The sequence below is a fragment of the Homo sapiens genome, chromosome 11 (assembly GCF_000001405.40).
Source record: "Homo sapiens chromosome 11, GRCh38.p14 Primary Assembly".
NCBI classification, from domain to species: domain Eukaryota; kingdom Metazoa; phylum Chordata; class Mammalia; order Primates; family Hominidae; genus Homo; species Homo sapiens.
Window position 1 is genome coordinate 75,574,289 of NC_000011.10, and position 20,487 is coordinate 75,594,775.

General features: G+C 50.5%; 1 protein-coding gene and 1 long non-coding RNA gene across 5 annotated transcripts in view, besides 5 other annotated features; one reads left to right on the forward strand and one right to left on the reverse strand.

Moving 5' to 3' along the window:
• Positions 2,219 to 2,719: an enhancer, noted in NCBI's record as "H3K27ac hESC enhancer chr11:75287552-75288052 (GRCh37/hg19 assembly coordinates)". NCBI's record gives its function as "activates a minimal SCP1, AML or CMV promoter by ChIP-STARR-seq in primed H9 embryonic stem cells {active_cell/tissue: H9 hESC(primed)}" and the evidence as "EXISTENCE:reporter gene assay evidence [ECO:0000049][PMID:30033119]".
• Positions 3,842 to 4,010: a silencer, noted in NCBI's record as "fragment chr11:75289175-75289343 (GRCh37/hg19 assembly coordinates)". NCBI's record gives its function as "represses an EF-1alpha promoter that drives an FKBP-Casp9 reporter gene in an ReSE screen in HepG2 liver carcinoma cells {active_cell/tissue: HepG2}" and the evidence as "EXISTENCE:reporter gene assay evidence [ECO:0000049][PMID:32094911]".
• Positions 8,908 to 20,377, forward strand: MAP6-AS1 (MAP6 antisense RNA 1). Its single transcript, NR_145823.1, has 2 exons — positions 8,908 to 8,993; positions 19,813 to 20,377. It is a non-coding gene; the product is annotated as an MAP6 antisense RNA 1 (long non-coding RNA).
• Positions 8,926 to 9,035: a silencer, noted in NCBI's record as "silent region_3771". NCBI's record gives its function as "represses an Ori minimal core promoter by ATAC-STARR-seq in GM12878 lymphoblastoid cells {active_cell/tissue: GM12878}" and the evidence as "EXISTENCE:reporter gene assay evidence [ECO:0000049][PMID:35858748]".
• Positions 9,046 to 9,195: a silencer, noted in NCBI's record as "silent region_3772". NCBI's record gives its function as "represses an Ori minimal core promoter by ATAC-STARR-seq in GM12878 lymphoblastoid cells {active_cell/tissue: GM12878}" and the evidence as "EXISTENCE:reporter gene assay evidence [ECO:0000049][PMID:35858748]".
• Positions 9,942 to 10,521: an enhancer, noted in NCBI's record as "H3K27ac-H3K4me1 hESC enhancer chr11:75295275-75295854 (GRCh37/hg19 assembly coordinates)". NCBI's record gives its function as "activates a minimal SCP1, AML or CMV promoter by ChIP-STARR-seq in naive H9 embryonic stem cells {active_cell/tissue: H9 hESC(naive)}" and the evidence as "EXISTENCE:reporter gene assay evidence [ECO:0000049][PMID:30033119]".
• MAP6 (microtubule associated protein 6) overlaps positions 12,630 to 20,487 on the reverse strand; it is an 82,121-nt gene continuing 74,263 nt past the window's right edge. For all 4 annotated transcript variants that reach the window (NM_033063.2, XM_017017755.3, XM_017017756.2 and 1 more), the window contains one exon: positions 12,630 to 13,896. In NM_033063.2, the coding sequence (NP_149052.1) occupies positions 12,771 to 13,896 (1,126 nt within the window). In that variant the 3' untranslated portion in view covers positions 12,630 to 12,770. The remainder of the gene's footprint in view (positions 13,897 to 20,487) is intronic.

Genomic DNA, 20,487 nt, shown 5'->3' on the forward strand with positions numbered 1-20,487 from the left:
GCTGCTTTAAAGGGTGAGTAGGCATTTCTGGATCAGAATAATGCTTTGAGTGCAACCAGCTGGTACGCCTTTGTGTTTTGCTCTTCCTATGTGCCAAATACTTAATATGTACAATTTTATCCAAGCTTCCTAACAGCTTGGCTAGTTAGGTAGGGATTGTCCCCATCTTACAGGTGAGATAACAGGCTGAGCAGTTAAGTGAGCTGCCTGAGGCCCTACAGTCAGTGGGGGCCGAGCTGGGACTAGATCCTAGTCGGTTGGGTAGTTGCTTCGCCACATAGGAAGGGCAGGAGAGGCCCCTAACACAGTGCCTGGAACCCAGCACTGAGCACAGATTCTAGTAATGAAGGCATGTTAACTTGCATACGATCTGTATCCATCTCTCTTAATCCTTGCAATAGCCCCGTTAGGTGGGAAGTCATCCTAACTTTACAAGGTGTAGCTCAGAGAAGGCAGAGACTGGGCTGGAACCCAGGCCTCCTGGCCCTGAAGTTCAGCCTGTGACAGCTCCCCCACCAAGTGGGAATGGGCAGTAAAATAAGCCAGGCCCGGGTGTGGGGCCACCGAGAGGACCCAAAGGGGGTCTTGAGGCCACGCTCCTCCATCCTGACTCAGGTGGGGAGGGTGGTAAGAGGTCTGTGCTGTTGCATCTCAAACACCCGTCCGTGAGGACTGGAGTTGCTGGTGTGTGAGTGGCAGTGCAGGTGGCAGAGGTGGGTGAGTTAGGGGTGGGGTGGGGTCTAGAGGTTGGTCCAGCCAGTGTTGCTGCCCCCCAGTGCCCCATCACTGCCCTGTGTGGAGCTTTCCTGCTGCCTGGAGGCCATTGGAGGGATTACCCTGTTATTCTCACCCTGGTGCTTGTTAAAGTCTTGGGAGATAATAAGCCTGTTGGATTGTGCGGGTCCCAGATGTGGATGCGGATTAGCCTTCTCCTGAGTGCCTACTGTGTGCCTGGCACTGCCATGTATGATTTCATTTACTTTTCAGACTTCCCTCCAGAGTAGCTATTACTGCTCCATGTTATGGACAAGAAAACTGGGGCTCAGAGAGGGGAAGTGACCAGCTCAAGGCCACCCAGCAGGACAGTGACAGAGCTTGGCTCACATGGGAACCCAGGTTTCCTGGCTGTAGAGGAAGGAGAAGTTACTGACGTGTGTGAGCTCCATGCTCCACAGTTTGCAGGGGGCGGTCACCCATCTTTTCCCCAGTCCCTGCAGCACGGGGCTTGTTGTCCTGACACTCCAGCTGTGACCTCTGCGACAGCATGCCCTTGTCTGCCTGTGTCCTGCTGCATCCCCGCACTTAACACAATGCCCGGCACACAGGAGGCGCCTAATAAATGCACCTTCTAAGGAAGCAGTCTAGTGGGAGCTGTGGTGTTTAGCAGCAGAGGCGTTGGAGCCTGACAGACCTGACGGGCGTCCCAGCTCTGCCACTTCCTAGCAGTGTGACCATGGGTCAGTTACTTACCTTCTCTGAGCTTCAGTTTCCTCAGTAGTAAGGTGGAAATGATAACAGTACTTACCTCATAAGGTTGTGGTGAAAGTTAAATGAGGTAATCCATGGTACTTGGCAAATACATAGCCAATAAACATTATTAGTAGTTACTAATAAGAGAAGGTAGTGATTCAAAATCATACAGCAGAGCTGGGATTTGAGCCTACCTCTCTGCAACTGTAAAAAGCCTGACCCCTTCCATTATGCCACAGTGCCTTGGGTTCAGGCTGGGCTGAAGTGTCAGGGGAGACTCCTGGAAGAAGGGGCTGGAGCTGGACGACAAGAAGGAAAGAAGCATTCCAGATGTGAAGAACAGCTGGAACAGAGGTGCAGCAGTTGCGATGGGCAGGGTGATCGTGGAACACAGGGAGGGGGGTGGTGAGGAGGGCTGAAGTGGGAGATGGAGGATTGAACTGCTACATGATGGGAACCCCCTGGATAAGGCACTCAGAGGGTCAGTGAGCATTATTAGAGGCAGGACAGATGGCCCTCGCCACTCAATCCCTCTGAATTTCCCAATCCTCTGTCCCGCCACTCCCGCTAACTCTACAGCCCCTCTCAGTTCTCACCATCTCCCCTTCCCATTTGCCCATGCTGTCTCCTCTGCCTGGTCCCAGGCCCCTCCCATCTCTGCCTGTTGAGCCCCCTCATCCTTAGAGGCCTATTTCAAAGGATACTATAACCCCCAGGGAACCTTCCAGGCCCCTAGACAGAAGCATGACAGCATGCACAGCAGCATCCCTTCAGGTGCCCTGGAGACACACCATCCTTCATGCATCTTGCTGCCGTCTTCCGTTTTCTCAAGTGTGACTTTTCTCAGTCTGCTCAGCCCCACCACGTGGTCGTCTCCAGTGCCCCATCCCTCGGGGCGCACCCAGTTCACACTGACCCGCCTGGCTGCTCCAGCAAGAATGAGGAAGTGGCTTTGTATTGAAAAGACCCACGCTGAGAAGTGGACAGCTCTTTTCCTTTCTTTTTTTCCATGTCATTTCTCCATTTACCCATTCTTGGTGTAAGCAGAGGTCCCAAGCTCAGCAGGGGAAACTCCAGGCAGAGGAGAGTGCACTGAGCCACATTTTCTGACTTCCTTTTTTTTTTTTTGAGACTCACTCTGTTGCCAGGCTAGAGTGTAGTGGCATAATCTCGGCTCACTACGACCTCCGCCTCCCAGGTTCAAGAGATTCTCCTGCCTCAGCTTCCCAAGTAGCTGGGACTACAGGCACGCACCACCACACCCAGCTAATTTTTGTATTTTTAGTAGAGAGGGCGTTTCACTATATTGGCCAGGATGGTCTCAATCTCTTGACCTCGTGATTCACCCGCCTGGGCCTCTCAAAGTGCTGGGATTACAGGTGTGAGCCACCGCACCCAGCCTTCTGATTTCTTAAGACATGAATTTGAGGCTGCCGTTGCCAAATTACGTAGTCAATTTATCAGTTGAATTCATAGGACTGCTCTGTCTCAGGTGAAACTTAGGGCACTGACCTCGATGAGAATGAGACAGTGTCATATGGGAAGATATGGACAATTTAGAGGCCCCCCCCCGCCCCCGCCCCCGCCCCCGCCCCAACAACATCTACTCCACCGCGCCTCCTAGTGGCAGAAGCAGTCCTTGCTCCTCTACCTGCGGAGGCTCCTGCTGCCTTGCCCGAAGATCTTGCAATGACCTTGCCTGGAAGTTATCCTGCAGCGTTTTAGTTATTTATTGCTGAGTAACAGGCCACTCCACATGTAGTGACTTAATTGGGTTTGCTCAGATGACTGCAATCACTGGATGCTGGGCTCAGCTGGGATAGTTGGAATGGCTGATGCTGGGCCTCTCTGTCTACAGCATCCTCCTTCCCAGTTTCTTCATGGCACGGTGACCTCAGGATTCCGGGAGAATGGAGGCAGGAGCTAAGCATCTGAGGCCTGGGCTCTGCAACTTGCATTATGTCACTTATAATACATTCTCCTGGTTAAAGCTAGTCATCAGGCCAACCCAGATTCAAAGCGTGAAAACTAGACTCCTCTTCTGGAGCATAATATGGTGGGCATCTGTCACCTGAGGAGAGGCCAGTTCTCTTCATGCCCCACTCACGTTGTCTCCAGCCCCATCATGGATAGATCCTTGCCTGCCTAATTCCTGAGTCAAGTCTGGGAGGAGGCAGCACACACATCAAAAGAATTGCAAGATTTTGCTAACTTATATCAGCAAAAATCTGGATAGCGTATATCAGAATGTTTTCTGTGGGTGCTAATCCAGGGACGGAGGAATATGACTTTCACCGGGCTGAATTTATTAATATAGGTACATTTAGCTGAGATTCTAGATTCAATGTGCCAGTGTGAGCAGCTAGGAGTGGTTTTGTTTGCTTAACTGGTTGACTGACTCCTGGATTCAATCAAGGCCTGTGCTCATTGAAATTGAGATGCCAGAAGTTCCTCGTTTTAATATAGAAGATGCAATCCAAAGACCAAGGGAGGGAGGAATGTTGAGGTGACTGTTCCCTGTGTGGCCCACTCCCTCTCCTTGGCTAAGCTCCACATGCCTAACTTCCTCTTGTACAGAAAGACCCCCTTCACCAAGGCACCCAGAAACACATGAGTGAGGGAAGCATCTCTGAAGCATGTTGCAGCACTTGCTCTCTGTGGGCTCGGCATACTGGTGGGAGATGCTGCCATGAAAATGGACTCCATGATTTCAGTGGAAATGATAGGACCCCAGGGGAGCAGAGGGCGAGCAGCACTCGACCACCCAGGACATCAGACCTCAGGTGGCAATAAGCATGTTCTGACCATAGATGTCTTCAGCAAAGGCTGATCAATCAAGGACCAAATAAGACCAAGGAGACCAAACAGATGGGCAGCTCTTAAGGTCCTCCTTAATCTCTCTTTCTCTTTTTTTTTTTAGATGGGAGTGCAGTGATGCGATCTCGGATCGCTGCAACCTCCACCTCCTGGGTTCAAGTGATTCTGCTGCCTCAGCCTCCCTAGTAGCTGGGATTACAGGCATGCACCACTACACCCAGCAAATTTTTGTATTATTAGTAGAGACAGGATTTCACCATGTTGGCCAGGCTGGTCTTGAACTCCTGACCTCAGGTGATCCACCCACCTTGGCCTCCCAAAGTGCTGGGATTACAGGTGTGAGCCACCGCACCTGGCCCTCCTTAATCTCTATAACAGAAACAGGAAATCAAAACAACCAACAAACAAACACAAACCCTCTAGAGCTGGCAAGTGGAAGCTTGACTTGAGCCACTAAGAACAAGATCTCAACCTCTCACCCAAAGTCCCTAGAATGAAAGAGAGGCCAGTACCCTTCAGAAAAGCCCCTTGAATAGCACCAGAGATACATACTGTAAATCATTCCTTCAGCCTTCTGCAAACGGTCCTGGGCCATTTGCCAGAAAACTGTGCTCTGTGGAAAGAAAATACTCAAATTTTTCAGGGATTAGTGGATGTTAAGTCTATTTAATGTTAATTCCTGAGGACCCAGAAAGCTGCTGTGTAGAGGCTCAGGTTGGTCAGGTAATAATTGGAGTTTTGACCCAAGTGCAGTGGGACCCTGAACCCATTCTGCAATTATTATTATTTTTTTTTTACTTTCATGATATATAATTGGAATTACAGGTAGAATTCATACATGAGCCTCCAGACCTGTGGAATAAGCGTAATTATGGCAAAATGATCAAGTGGAAACCCCTCAATCTCCTCCTTCTTACCAAAATAATACACCAATAATAAATTCTGGGGAGTAACAGGAACTTGTGCCACCATCAAAGACTTGAAAGATGCAAAGGTGGTTTCTGTCACATTTCATTTAACTCATCTATTTGGTCTGTGCAGAAGGCACGGGTCTTGGAGAATGACAGGTCATTACTGTAAGCTTACTCAGGTGGTGAGTTCAGTTGCAGATGCTATTATTCCAGGTGTGGTCTTTTTATGGGAATTATAATTGTTTTTTTGTCACAATGTAAAACTATCTGATGAGTTATGTTTTCTTGTCCTCTACAGACAGTCCCCTTAGCAGTTTTCTTTCTGTTGGCAGGGATAGCAGTACACCTTTCTCATCTTGTCTTGAAACTCCTCAAGTCTCTGATTTTCTATGTAGATTTTGATCATCCTCCCATATCACAGGCCATTATATTTGTCCACTACATTGATTATACTATGTTGCTAGGATTGGGAGAAGGAGAAGCAGTGGGTACTTCAGATGCATCAATAAGACATAAGTGTGCCTAAGAATGGAAGTAAGTTTCATGAGAACATAGGGGCCTGCCAACCACGTGAAGTTCCTGGGTGTTCAGTGATCTGGATCCCTGCAAAATGAAAGACAACTTGCTGGGCTTTCTGCCTCTTACTGCTAATAAGCACAACACTTCTTGGGCTTCTATGTATTCTGGAAGCAAAATATATTGGTGTGTTTCTCTGATCCTTATAAGGTTATTGAGTAACCTATAAGGCTGCAGGGTTGGAGTGGGGTCCAGAGAAAAGGAAAGTTTCCAGGTGGTCCAGAATGAAAGGCAAGCAGCTCTGCCACATGGCCCTGATAGCCCAGCCGATCCCAAGATGGCTCAAGTGTCTGCGGCAGATGGGATGGTATTTGAACCCATGGCAAACTCTGATAGAAGAATCAAAATGGAGTATCTACAATTTAGGAGTGAAGCCTGGTGCTCCTTAGCAAGCAGTTTTCCTCCTTTTGGGGAAGGACTCTTGGCTCACTGCTGGCTGGGCTTAGCTGACAGTGGTCTCAGTGTGGGAGGCACCAAGGGATTGTGAAAGTAATTAATGACTGTAACACACAGTGTGTTCTTTTCTCAGGGATACTTGGGTTATATGTGCTCAGTGGTTGCTAAATGAGATGTCAGTAAATTATGCATCAGGTATGAAAACACACTTGACTTCTCTCCTTTCTTATCCCCCTTATCCGAAATCGGGCTTCTGTTTCTTCTACTCTAGAGAGTCTACAATTGCCAAAGTCAGTGATCTCTTTATTGCTACTTTAAAAAAAACTAATTTCAGCCGGATGCAGTGGCTCATGCCTGTAATCCCAGCACTTTGGGAAGCCGAGGCGGGCAGATCGCGAGGTCAAGAGATCGAGACCATCCTGGCCAACATGGTGAAACCCCATCTCTACTAAAAATACAAAAAATTAGCTGGGCATGGTGGCATGCGCCTGTAGTCCCAGCTACTCGGGAGGCTGAGGCAGGAAAATCACTTGAACCTGGGGGGCGGAGGTTGCAGTGAGCCGAGATCACACCACTGCACTCCAGCCTGGCAACAGAGTGAGACTCCATCTCAAAACAACAACAACAACAAAAAAAACTAATTTCGCGCCTATGAAAAAAATTCCAACATACATGACAATTAAATAATAGTACACATAGCTGGGCACGGTGGCTCACGCCTGTAATCCCAGCACTTTGGGAGGCTGAGGCGGGCAGATCCTGAGGTCAGGAGTTCAAGACCAGCCTGACCAACATGGTGAAATCCTGTTTCTGCTAAAAATACAAAAATTAGCTAGGCGTGGTGGTGTGCGCCTGTAGTCCCAGCTACTCGGGAGGCTGAGACAGGAGAATCACTTGAACCTGGGAAGCGGAGGTTGCAGTGAGCGGAGATTTCACTACCACACTCCAGCCTGGCCGACAGAGTGAGACTCCATCTCAAAATAAATAAATAATAGTACCCATCACAAAACTTCAATATGTAACGACATTTTGCCCATTTTGTTCAACAGATTCTAAATCCATATTGCAGGGAAGCCGTTATGGTCTCTAACCCTGTTAACTCTTCATCCTTGATGTCTTCCCCAAGGTGACATTCCTTTCTAGTTTTCTTCTGACTCCTCTGCTGCTTTAGGGCAGCCTCCACTTGGGGGCTCCTTCTTTTGCCTGTCCCCTGAATGTGGGTGTTTCCCAGCGCTCTGACCTGACCCCATCCGTCTCTCGCTTTCCACACTCCTGCTGGGTAAACTCACCCTCTCTCATAGCCTTTTTACCTTCTGTGGGTTGGCGAGGCTCACATTTCAATGAGGTCTGCATCTCCGCCTTCAGCTCAGACCCTTTTCCCAGTCTCAGACCACCATGTCCAGAAGTCTGGACACCAAATTGAGTCCATCCTCCTGCCAAAACAAGCTGTTTCCTGGATTCCCATTAATCCACACAACAATAGAGATCTACTCATATTTATTAGATACCAATTTTTATGTAAGAAAAAAATGTAAGATTCTGGAACAAGCCAAAGAAATTACTGCTACATGAAAAAGATGGACAATAACAAGTGTTGGTAAGGATGTGGAGAAACTGGAACCCTCCTACACTGTGGGTGGGAATGTAAAACAGTGAAGCCCTGGCCCACCCAGAACCAGAATAAACGCCGTAGAGGATTTTTCCCCTTTTCCCCCCACTTCAAGAGATGGGCTCTTGAGCACAGTAGAATGATCAGAGCTCACTGCAGCCTTGAGCTCCTGGGTTCAAGCCTCAGCCTCCGAAATAGCTGGAACTACAGGCATGCACCACCACACCCAGCAGAGGATGTTGAACTGATGGCCCAAGGTGGAGAGGGAGTGAAAGTGCAGGTGCTTTGATGGATGAGGGATGGAGTGGCTTCCCTCCGGGAATGAAGGTGTGCAGAAAGGGCCACGCGCCTGCGGGCTGGGTTGCAGGGCCTCTGAGGGATGGGCTCAGATGTGGAAGCTATAGGAATGCCTGGGCAAACTGGGCAGAAATACCACAACCTGGGCAGGCTTTGGGAGGTCCCCAGCCAAGCCCTAGGGAGAGGGAGAGGGGCTGCCAGCCCCCCGGCTTGGGCTCAGGGAAGCCATAGTGATTCTTCTCAGGATGGCCTGAACCTCCTGGAATTGTGATAAGCCCCAAAGACAGGATGAGGCTCCAGGAAAATGACTAATATCAGATTTCCTGTCAACCGTGGCAACGAGAGAAGGGGGCTCCCAGTCTATTTAATTAGATTTACCAAAATAAAGACGTGGCATTTCTTACACCTGAGTGCCATGCTGTGATGCATAGACTGAATTACAAATTGTGAGATGGGTGAGGTAAGAGGGGGTGGCCATAGAGATAGTGAAAAGTGGGCAAATTTGCTATTTAGCAGGAAGGCCAGGCAGGTCTTACTGATAGTTTGGAAGCTGAGGGTCGGAGACTGGTACTGAAAAGGATTTCCCGGTTTCTGGCTGAGAACTGGGTCAACCCGAGTGCATTCCCACCCACTTCCTCTAGACCATCCATCCACTCAGCGGCACAGACTCCCGAAAGTGTCGCTCCAGTCCGAGTTGGCTCCTGTCCCTTGTCCACATAGACCGTCTCCCCGCTCCCCCAATATGGCACAAGGTGCCTAGGCCGTGTGGGGCGTCGGCAGGTATCACGGGTGGGGTCCATTGTGTGAGGACTAACATCGCGGCCTTTCCCCAGACCAGCCACCGGGGACTCCAGAGAGGCCTCGGCCCAGCTCCCGGAAAGGGTCTCCCAGCCAGGCCTTCTAGCGGCCCAAAGCGGGTAGGCAGAGCGCAGATACCGGGGCCTCTTTCGCCCACCCTCGCCAGGGCACTATCCTTCCCACCGGCCCGATCCCGCGTCCCGAGGTCTCGCGGGGCCAGGCTGCACGGGCGGCGGAGCCCGGAGCCCGGGGCGGGGCCGGAGATGAGCCTGCAGGCGGGGGGCTGTGCGAGTGCGCGGGGACGGGGGCTGCTGTTTCCGAGCCGAGAGCCCTGGTAGCGGGGCTCTGTGGGCGGAGACGCCCTCCCGAGCCTGGGCATCTTCGGAGTGGGACTCTCGGGTCGGAGTTCCGCCGCCGGCCCATCCAGTTTCAGCGGGTCGCCTTTGCCTCTGGGCCGGGTGGGGAGCCTCCCATTCCAGAGACCCCCCGACTCCCTGCCCCTCGCGGCGTAGGGGCGCCCTTTCTGCGGCGCCGCGGGGCCGTCCTCTCCCCTCCCCGGGCGGCTGCAGCAGGGGCGCGGGAGCCCGCGGACTGCGGGGTTGCGGTCGCCCCTGCTTTGTGAGTTCCCGCAGCTGGGAGGAAGAAGGAGAGGAGGGAGGAGGGAGAGGTGGGGAAGGGGACGCCGCGGGAGACTGGGAAGTGGCTGCCGCAGGGAGGAGCTAGGCCTCGAGTGAAGCCTGCTTGTAAGAAGGGCCAGGAGAGTCGGGTGCGCCCCCGCCCTCCCTGCCCCACCCCAAGATGGGGACCCAGAGCCCCTCCTCCCGCACTGGGCCTTCTTTCTGGGTAGTGGAGGGCTGGACTGGACTGAGCTGGGAAGGCCTGCAGCTCAGAGGCGCTGCTCTGTGCGTCAGGACCGGCTTGCAAATGAAGATGTTGAGGGGCTGGCTCTGGGCTCATAGCAGAAACTGCCAGATCTAGCGGCCACCCCTCAGTCCTCATCTGCGCCGGCCCTCCCAGCTTTCGACCCGGCCTCACTGTCTCCTGATTGAATCACTCCGGGCACCACAGTTCCCTGGTTCCTCCTTACAGCTCCGGGCCAGCCCCTCTGAACTTTTTCTGGGCGATTCTCTCTGACCTCTTAAGTCCGCAACGCTTGGAACAGGACCCACATCTCTTTCCATTCTGACACTCTCTGAGGGAGCGCAGCGTCCTTCATGTGGGGCTTGTGACCATCCTCCCCCCAGCCCCAGGGCAGCTGACTACCAGGCCCTGTTTCCAGACGTCTCTTCAGAGGTCAAGCCTTGGTAGCCAGTGGCCTGGACATCTGCCCCCGGGTGTCTCGGAGGCCCTCAGGGAAACCTTGTTCTGCTTCTCAGAGATGGCGCCACGGTTCGCTTGGCCTGTGGAAACGTGTGTGTCATGGGACCTGGTGTGTGGGTCAGAGGAAGGACTGGGAGGAGGAGGAAGGTGTCCACATGCGATTTTTTTTTTTGAGACAGAGTCTCGCTCTATCGCCCGGGCTGGAGTGCAGTGGCTAGATCTCAGCTCACTGCAATCTCTGCCTCCCAGGTTCAAGCGATTCTCGTGCCTTAGCCTCCCAAGTAGCTGGGATTACAGGTGCCTGCCACTACACCCAGCTAATTTTGGTATATTTAGTAGAGACAGGGTTTCACCATGTTGGTCAGGCTGCTCTTGAACTCCTGACCTCAAATAATCCACCCACCTCGGCCTCCCAAAGTCCTGGGATTACAGCCGTGAGCCATCGAGCCCGACCTTCACACGCAATTCTTTAGCCTCAATGTGGCCTTGTCTTATCTTCAGGTTTCTGACTATTGGAGCTCATATGGCAGCAAGCTCTGAGGGCTACTTTTGTGTTGGGCCAAAAAAAGCCAACCTCACTGTGAAGAAACGTCTCTCTCTCTCTTTCTCTGTGTGTGTGTGTGTGTGTGTTTGTGTGTGTATAGACAAAACCCTAGTGCTGTTGGGAACGGGGTGAGGAGGCAGGCTTGGGGCCAGTTGGATGGGGAAGGCTTGCTTAGAAAACTAGACTATTTGGGTGTCCTCCATACTGTATTTCCTCTGATGATTTTCCTGTAAGAACTGAGCTGAGCTCCTTTGAAAGGGATAGCAGTATTCCTTGGGAGCCAGCTTTGGTGGGGGCAACTGGTGGAGCCTCCACCCTAGCTTCTTGGGGGCTCTGGGCTTTGAAAGGGAGGCTGTAATATGGCCTTGCGGCCCCTGCCAGTGGCATCCCGGCCGGACCCATCTTTGACTGAGGCTGAGCCCCAGGCCCGCTGGCAGCTCCCAGCCGTCCTCCCCACAGCCTGGCTGTGGCTGTTCCTCGGCCTGCCAGCCCCACAATCACAGCCCACAGGACGCACCCCCACTCCCTCCCTGATTTCCTGGAATTCAGAAAATGGATCACCCCTGCCTCGTCCTAGTTTTCCACCCCAGAGACCTGCCATACCCTTGGTCAAGTCCTCATGCAAACCAGATTCCTTTCATTCAAGGACTTTCAGAGGGAGCGTTACCCGGTCCTCAGCCACACCCATGCCGCCCTGTCTGCCCTGTCTGGACTGCCTAGACTCCATCAGAACTCCACAGCCACTTTCTCTGGAAAGCCTTCCTGGCTGCTCTTGCCAGGTGTTCTCTCTTCACTGGCCTCTCAAAGCCAGGTCTTGACTTGTCCTAGGGCCTCATCCCATACCATGTTTTATTGTCATAATATTCTTTCCCATAGTGACCCCAGTGCTCAGCACTGAGCCTGGCACAAAGTGCATGCTAAGGACAAGCTTGCTGCACGGAGAAATGAATGGGGACTTCAGATATACATACACACACACACACATATATATATACACGTATATATATATATATATATATATATACGTGTATATATATATATACGTGTATATATATATATACACACACACATACATACATACACATACACACGCTTTTTTTTTTTGAGACCGAGTCTCGCTCTGTCGCCCAGGCTGGAGCCAGGCTAGAGTGCAGTGGCACAATCTCGGCTCATTGCAACCTCTGCCTCCCAGGTTCAAGTGATTCTCCTGCCTCAGCCTCCTGAGTAGCTGGGTTTACAGGTGCCTGCCACCGCACCCAGCTAATTTTTTTATTTTTAGTAGAGACAGGGTTTTTACCATGTTGGCCAGGCTGGTCTCGAACTCCTGACCTCAGGTGATCCACCCACCTAAGCCTCCCGAAGTGCTGGGATTACAGGCGTGAGCCACTGTGCCTGGCTCTAGGTATATTCTTTAGAAGCTCTCAGTTGAGCTGTCATGGATATTGAATGAGGATTAGCAGGTGTTAGGTTATACAGTGTCCTGAGACTTATGATCAGAGCCTGGTTTCCTCAAGAAGTTTGACCCCTGGATGAGCTTTAAGGCTGAGCTCTTGGCAAACAACTGTCATCCAGAATTCCCCTGTGCCAGGTGGGTCCCTGCTCCTGTTTCATCTGCAGGCTTCAACTCAGCTACCCAGGGCTCAGCCTGCTGGGATTTGGCACCTCTTGTGAGGCTGTCATGGTATCTGACCCTTGCCTTATCCTGCCCACCTCCGTGATGGGGTCCTGTTTCCATCTAGCATCGCCTACCCACTCCCATCTCATGCTGACAACTCACAGGAACTGGTGCTTCTCAGACCCCTCTGGTCCAGACGGGTGAATGCAGAGCCTGACAGGCCCACCTATACACATGTATGCACCCCTGCCCAACAGAGACAGAGAGAAACATTGCTGAGCCAGAGGGACCATTTTTATTAGATTCCAGCAAGACTACTGTACATGTTTCATGCAGATTAAATATGTGTCTTCACTGCCCCTGGGAGGGGAGCACTCTCACTGTCAGCTCCTTCATTGGTGTGTCAAGGGGTGAGTGTCAAGGGGAGCTCTCAATGTATTCCGTATGGGGGGCAGTTGGGATCATGACTCGGGGTAGAGGTGAGACAGTAGGTAGCTGAGGGTCCCTGGGACCTTGAGTCTTCAGAGGTTCAGGGACTGCAGGACCTTGGTCCTTTGCTGGTACTGGCACCAGAGGATCTTGATCCTTCAGAGGCACTGGGACTATAGGAACTTGATTCTTCAGAGGTTCAGGGACTATACGACCTTGATTCTTTGGAGGCTGTAGGACTGTGGGGCCTTGATCCTTAACTAGTACTGGGAGAATGGGGTCTTGATTCTTCACGGACTCGGGGACCACAGGACCTTGATTCTTTACAGGTGCCACAACTGCAGAATCGTGAACCTTTGCATGCTCTGGGACTACAACATCTTGATCCTTGACTGGCCCTGAGACCACTAAACCTTGATTCTTTACAGGCTCAGAGACCATGGAACCTTGATTCTTTATGGGTGCTGTGGCCATGGCACTTTCATCCTTCGGATGCTCTGGGACCATGGGATCTTGATCCTTGATAGGTGCTGAGACCATGGGACCTTCATCCTTGACAGGTGCTGGGACTATGGGACCTTCACCCTTGACAGGTGCTGGGACTATGGGACCTTGATCCTTGACAGGTGCTGAGACCATGGGACCTTGATCCTTGACAGATGCTGAGACCATGGGACCTTCATCCTTGACAGGTGCTGGGACCATAGGAGCTTGATTCTTCACAGGCTCAGGAATCCTAGGACCTTGATCCTTTAGAGACTCTGGTACCACAGAGCCTTGATCCTTAACTTTTGCTGGAACCATAGGACTTTGATTCTTTGGAGGAACTGGGACCGAGGGACCTTGGTCCTTGACTGGTGCTGAGATAACAGGGCTTTCATTCTTTAAAGGCTCAGGGACCGTGTGATCTTGATCCTTGACTGGTAATGGGATCATGGGACCTAGATCCTTTGGAGGCCCTGGGACCACAGAACCTTGCTTCTTCAGAGGCTCTTGCACCATAGGACCTTGACCTTTCAGAAGGCCTGGGACCACAGAACCTTGATCCTTGTCTGGCTCTGTGGCTACAGGACCTTGAGTCTTACTTGAATCACTGACGGGTTGAGCCAGGCTCCTGCAAAGGAGAGAGAGGTGATCACTGTGAGAGTAGAGCTCAGGCAGGGACAGGGCAGAGTACAGATTGCCTAATAAGTCTTGGCCTAGTGGAGCCTGGGCCGGGCAGCTCTTGCTGGAGAGCCAGGAGAATATGATTTCTGTGTTCTTAGTACAGAATGTGGGCGGGGGTGAGGGAGGGGGGTGAGGTGAAGGCTCAGGAATCAGTCATTCAATGTGCTTGCCAATTGATTATAACCTGCACGTGGCACAGGGGGTGGCACGCTGGTGACAATGGCAGTACTGTAGCTGGACTCGGAGTCATCCAGTAGGCATCCCAGCAGCCCGTCCACCCCACATTCCATCCAGGTCCCTACTTTTTCTTCTAGGATCGTTGGGCCCATCCTGGGAGCCCCATCTCAGCTGCCCACCAGATGCCCCCACAGGCCAGGGTGCTCTTTTCTTGTTCTCAGGGCCTTCAAAGTTCTTTTGCCTCCCTGACTCCCTGACCCCCTTGTTAAGTGCTGGCTGCAAGAAGGGGCAAGGGGTCCATGGCATACCAGGAAAGGAAGCAGTGGGAATGCCCCTCTCTCCCTCTCCTGCAAGGGGAAAAGTATTTTATCACTGACATTGTATAGAATGAGCAGCATATAGTGATAATAAAAAGCAGGCCAGCTATTAGTTTTTTGTTATTTGTTTTTGTAGAGACGGGGCCTCACTATGTCACCTAGGCTGTTCTCCAGCTCCTGACCTCAAGTGATCCTCCCACCTCAGCCTCCTGAATAGCTGGACTACAGGCAGCTTTTAGCTTTATTGCTTTAAATTCTCCATAGACAGTGCGCCCTGTGATTGCATGCACCACTCCCACTACCCCCAACCTTTGCTAGGTGACTCAATGGGACTCCGCTTTCAGGTAGGGATGAGGCCCTGATCCCCTAACTCCATTCCCACTTCTGGCTCTCTCTGCTCTCCTGAGACCTTTGCCCTCACCAACTTCCAGGCTCTTGGGCTTATTTCCCTATAGCCAAGAGTCCCAGTCTTTCATCAGAATCCTCAGGCACTGTTCCCTCGCCTCACTGTGGCCGTCTGCCTCATCCCCTGGCCCACCCACACTGTGGAGAGCGTGTGACAACACTAACACTCAAAGGCAAGCATTGCCACACTTAGACCCGGCCAGCCTGGAGCCCTCTGGTTTAGAGTGCACACTCCTTCCTTGCAGGCCATGTTGGAAGTCGAGAGAGTGGCATTGCTCAGCAAGCATCACAGGCCCTTGCACGCCTACAACACATCCAGCTTTCCGAATGGCTCCCTTTTATAGCTCATTTCAGCAACAGAGCAGCCCTGTGAAGCACACAGGAAGGATTTTCTTACCCTTACTTGTCTGATGAAGAAAATGAGGTCATGAGAGGACAAGTGATGGGGAAAGTGAGGGGACCCCCACGGACTAGCATCTGGATCCTTCCGCTCCTGGATCCTGTGCTCTTTCCCTTAGTGTGCCTGGCACATAGTAGGTGCTCAATGCAAGGTGACTATTACTATTACTCTATTTATTGGGTATAATGATATTTACTCAGAAATCTATAATGATTAGAGGTCAGCACCTAGAGCACCTTGTACTATGGTATTATTGGGTAGTATTATGGTTGTTTTTCTGTTTACTTAGAAGTAAAATTATGTGTATTTGGACTGCTTTTATTCTTCTGTGTTGTCCTGATGCAGAAGCTTTTTACTGTATTTAGCATCCTGAGCCACCCAGGGACTGGTATTTCTCAGCAGAGTCCACACAGCACAGGCAACCTCTCCATCTAGTTCCCCTGGCTGTCCCTGAGCATCACAGTGGAAGGGGCCAGGGCAGCTCTCTGGCTCAGCATGATATGGAACACAGCTGCTCTGGCCAGATAGACACAGTTGGCTGCTATCAGTAGGACCTTAGTGTTTGAGAAGAGAGCCAGGCAAGGCTGTGAGAAGCATGTGGAATCCAAAAATGGCATTAAAATACCTCCAGTCACTGGTGGCTGGTCAGAGAGGAAAAAAGAAAAACCGAATTCAGAACAGAGCCAAGCAGGAAATTGATTAGGTGTATTCTCTTAGATTGTGAAGCGACCTGGGTGGTGTCCTCCCAACAGGGTGAGGAAGCTGAGAAGGGACAAAAGAAAAAAAAGGGAGCTTAACTCCATCTCAGGGGCTTGGGCTGCAGAACCTATCCCAAGGGTAGGACATGGGCCTGGAGTCTCCTGCTGGCCTGGAGGTCACAAAGAAGGCCAGCCCTGCAGCCTGGGCCAGGAAGTACATTTCCTTGGATATCTACAGCATTGGCTCCTGTGCCACCTACCAAATTTCTGTTTAATGGGCTCTTCTGTTTAATGAGCCAGTTGTGAGCTAGCCTCAACTTTGCATGGATACATAACCCCATATTGCTTAGGTTAGAAAACTTTTTTCTTTAGTGGGTATCTTTAATCATGGGAAGGTTATAATTAAGATTAAAATGATGAATTAAATCAAGTCCCCAATATTACTTTTTTAATATTAAGTTTAAGAAAAACCCTGTAATCCCAGCACTTTGGGAGGCCGAGGCGGGCAGATCACTTGTGGTCAGGAGTTCGAGATCAGCCTGGCTAACATGGTGAAACCCCATCTCTACTAAAAATACAAAAATTAGCTGGGTGTGGTGGCAGGTGCCTGTAGTCCCAGCTACTCAGGAGGTTGAGGTGGGAGAATCGTTTTAGCCCAGGAGGTGGAGGTGGCAGTGAGCTGAGATCACACCACTGCACTCTAACCTGGGTGACACAGTGAGACACTGGCTCCAGGAAAAAAAAAAAGAAAAAAGTTTAGGAAAAATGTGCATAGATTTAGTTCAAAGGTATTTGTAATGTTTAAGATAATTTAGCGTATTAGAATGTCTAACAGATTAGCTTTGTAATCCCAATATAAAATGTGTAACGGAATAATTAAATTAGATGTATAACCTAAAGCTGAAAGATATGACAGTTTTACACATTTTTAAACAACGATGGAACTTTTATGACAAGCCAATGGTCACCATATTTTTAATCTTAATTTATTTAAAATTATTCATAATTTAATTTATATTTAGGGTAATTGAATTAAGCTATAACATCCTCCTTAAAAGAGATTGTTACATTTTACTAATTTTATTTTTGTTACTTTTTATTAAGCATTCATCTTTAAAATCCAAGCAGCCTGGACAGTTTTTCTATGCACGAAACTGCACGCAAGGGCACCGTGAAATCCTCACTGACACTGACTGGTCCTCACATGGTTCCAGTTGCCTGCCAGTCTCCCATCTGTAAAGTGCCCCACCTCCTCCGTGAGGCTGGTATGAATGAGGCAAAGCCACCCCCTCAGGGTGGAAGCTGGTTCGTGGCTTGGGGAGCAGAAGCAGGCTGCATTCAGCCCACTCAGGCCACAGGCCAGCTGTCCTTGGGCATGGCCCAACCTGCACAACCAAATCTGGTGCCCTGGGTCAGCAGCATATGTTCTCAAGACAGCATATGCCACGGGCGCCTTCTCCCAGCCTGTGCACCCCGAAAGCACTAACCTCTCAGAAAGTACAATGACCTGCTGGGCTGACCTTGGTTTCTGTGCTGCTTATTGCCTGAAAGGTCTTGGGCAATTGTTTAACCACCATAGACCTCAGTTTCCCCACCTATCAAGTGGGGATAACGATATAAATGTCAGGGATTATTACAACAGAAAATTTTGCTAGGTGGGCGTCTGGAATAACAATTCTTGATATTTTCAGAGTGCTTGGATAGTGCACAAATAAGTCCACTTCTGTAATAACTGTGATAGCAGTTTACTAAAATGCTCATGCGTCTGTTGCCTTATGTCATTCAACCCTCACAGCAGTCCTGGGGGAACCCCATTTTCCCTGCATCATCCTCTCATGCTGTTTTGCACACTGCCAGCCCGGGCTGTCTGTTTCTGCTTCACCCACTTTTCTTTGTCAAGGCCCTGCCTGTCCTTGAAGGCTCCGCTCAGCTCCCACCTCCTCCCTGGTCTTCCTGCCTGTGTCTCTCCAGATTAGTTTCGTTTGCATCCCTGCTGCAGCACCGTCTCACAGTCTCTCTCTCCGCTTTCTCACATATCCCCACTGCAGGCCAGGCTCCCCCTGCTAGACAGAGAGCTCCCTGAAGACAGGGGCCAACCTCCTTGCCTGCAGCCCCAATGCCCAGCACAGTATCTGAAACAAAGAAGGCAAAATGGAAAGATTTAAAAGTTATTGTTGCTGAAAGCTGGTTCATCCTCTATTCCTTAGCCCCTGCCAGAAACTCAGATTCATCCTTGATACCTCCCTCTCCCTCAAAACCCTCACCCCATCCATCAGGTCCCATTGATTTCAGCTCCTAACATTTATCTCTTGAATATTCCCACTTCTTTCCCTCCCTCCCTTCCCCTACCACCTGCTATGCCATCATCTACCTGGACCACTGTCACAGCCTCCTGACTGCTGTCCCCTGTTCCATGTATTCTTGCTCTCCTCCAACCCATTCTTCATACAGAAATCAGAATGATCTTTTAAGAGAGCAAACCCTATCTTGTCCCTTCTTTGCTCACAACCTTTCAATACCTTCTCCTTGTACCAAGAACAAAGAAGAAAATGTGTTACACAGCCCCACCTAGCTGGCCAATCTACCCACTTCCTTACCCCTTCACCCCTCTCCTTCCTGCCTTTCCTGGCTTTCTGTGCCCAGCATTCTGTTCCTTCGGCACGCCCTGCTCCTTCCCATTTTACAGCTTTTGCACATGCAGCTGTCTGCTCCTGGAATATTCTCTTGTTCCCTCTTCACCTGGCTAGTGTTTACTCAGCTGTCATCTCTCAGCTCACTGAAGCACTGCCCTGGGAAGGCTTCCCTGACCCCACAGTCATGGCCAGCCCCCTGCTACAGGCTCTCCTAGTCCCTGGCACTTGCTTTCCTCTCTTATCTCAGCTAATTCCTTGTATTCTTTTGGATTAATGTTTCTCCCACTAGACTGAAGTGTCCAGAGGGCAGGGACCATGTCAGTTTTGCACATCATTGTATCCTCTGTACCTTAAATGAACAGTACCTGAGCCCAGGTGGGTTCTGACTTAATACTTGAGTGAATGAATAAACAACAGACTGTTCTGTGCCAGGCTCTGTCCTATTTGCAAAACTTAATGTTCCAAGGTTATATGAGACATCTTGTCTTAGACACTTCATTTTCTATCCTTCTTCCTGTTTCCATGGAGACAAGGTAATGCCTCCTGAGTGCACACACACTGACATTGGATCCATACTTTCCAGAGTCTAGCAGCAGGATTACTGAGCCCTGTCCTCCACTGGATGGTGAAAGGACTTCACTCCCTCCCACTGATTCCTGCCCTTGCACACAATTCCAGTCCTATAGTCCATCCACGTGGTTTTTTTCTTCCCAGATTGTCTCCTGTTGCACCATCAAAGCAGCCAACAGCTGTGGCAATGCTCCTGGCATAGGGCATAATTCAGAGAGTGGGGAGCCTATGGACCCTGTCCTTGAATCTCCTGCCTTCCAGGGAAAGTGTGGGAGTGTGGGGCAGTGTGGAAAAGCCTTGAGGAAGAAAGACACTGAGCAATAACTATGGGCCAGGCTTGGTGCCAGACGTTTTAAGATCTATTATTTCTCATGATGTAAAAAGCAACCTGCTATAGAGACAGTGCACTGACTGGGCTTGAGGCCCAGAGAGCTGGGTTTGAATGTGAATTCAACCCCCTCCTAGCCATAGGATGGCACTGGGGCACACATCTCCAGGCCTCAGTTTCCTTATCTACAAAAGGAAGATTAGAAGGTCCACCTTCTAGGGAGGATTAGCTTATGTGAATGCTCATGGCATGGCCCCTGGAATACAAGTGATGTTTAGCAAATGTTAATTCCAAAGCGGGGCTTGCTGATCTGGTCCATTTGTCTTGCTCCACAGATGGAAACTTGACCCAGAATGGACAAGTGATTCTCCAGGTCCAGGACTAAAACATGGGCCTCTCAACATCTCAGCAGGCAGGTGGAAGAGATGGAGCAAACTCACTTGGAGCAAAGATGGGCAGGAGGGGAACAGCGAAGCCCAGGCCAACGGCACCACAGGGCCCCTGGCAGAACATGGACAGAGACAGTGTGATTCCAGGGCTCTGTTCCCTTGCTGCTGCCTCCATGGGCCCCGTACATGTGCTCATGATTCTTAGACACAAACAAAGCTCCCAACACAGTGATGGAAATGCAGCTGCCAAGGGGGATTGCCAAGGAAACCATCTTTGAAAGGCTCATTATTCTTATGAAGAATCTGCAGGAGACAGGAGTTCTCAAAACAACTCTCGCTCCGCCTCTATCCTCAACCGGACTCTGTGGGAGTGTCTCTTTTAGTAATTATCCTGTTCTTTGGTAATTATCTGCCTCTCCTGCTAGCCTGTGGGACTGTGTTTTCTTCATCTTTGCATCATGAGTATCTAGCACAGGGTCTGGCTCATTGTAGTACCTGGCAGATATTGGTGGGAAAAACACATGGCTGGTGTAGCTTCTTCTCTTTATTCACTTTTAATTTTTTTCTCTTTTATCCATTCACTGAACAAATCTACTGAGACCCTGCTCTGTGTCAGGCCCT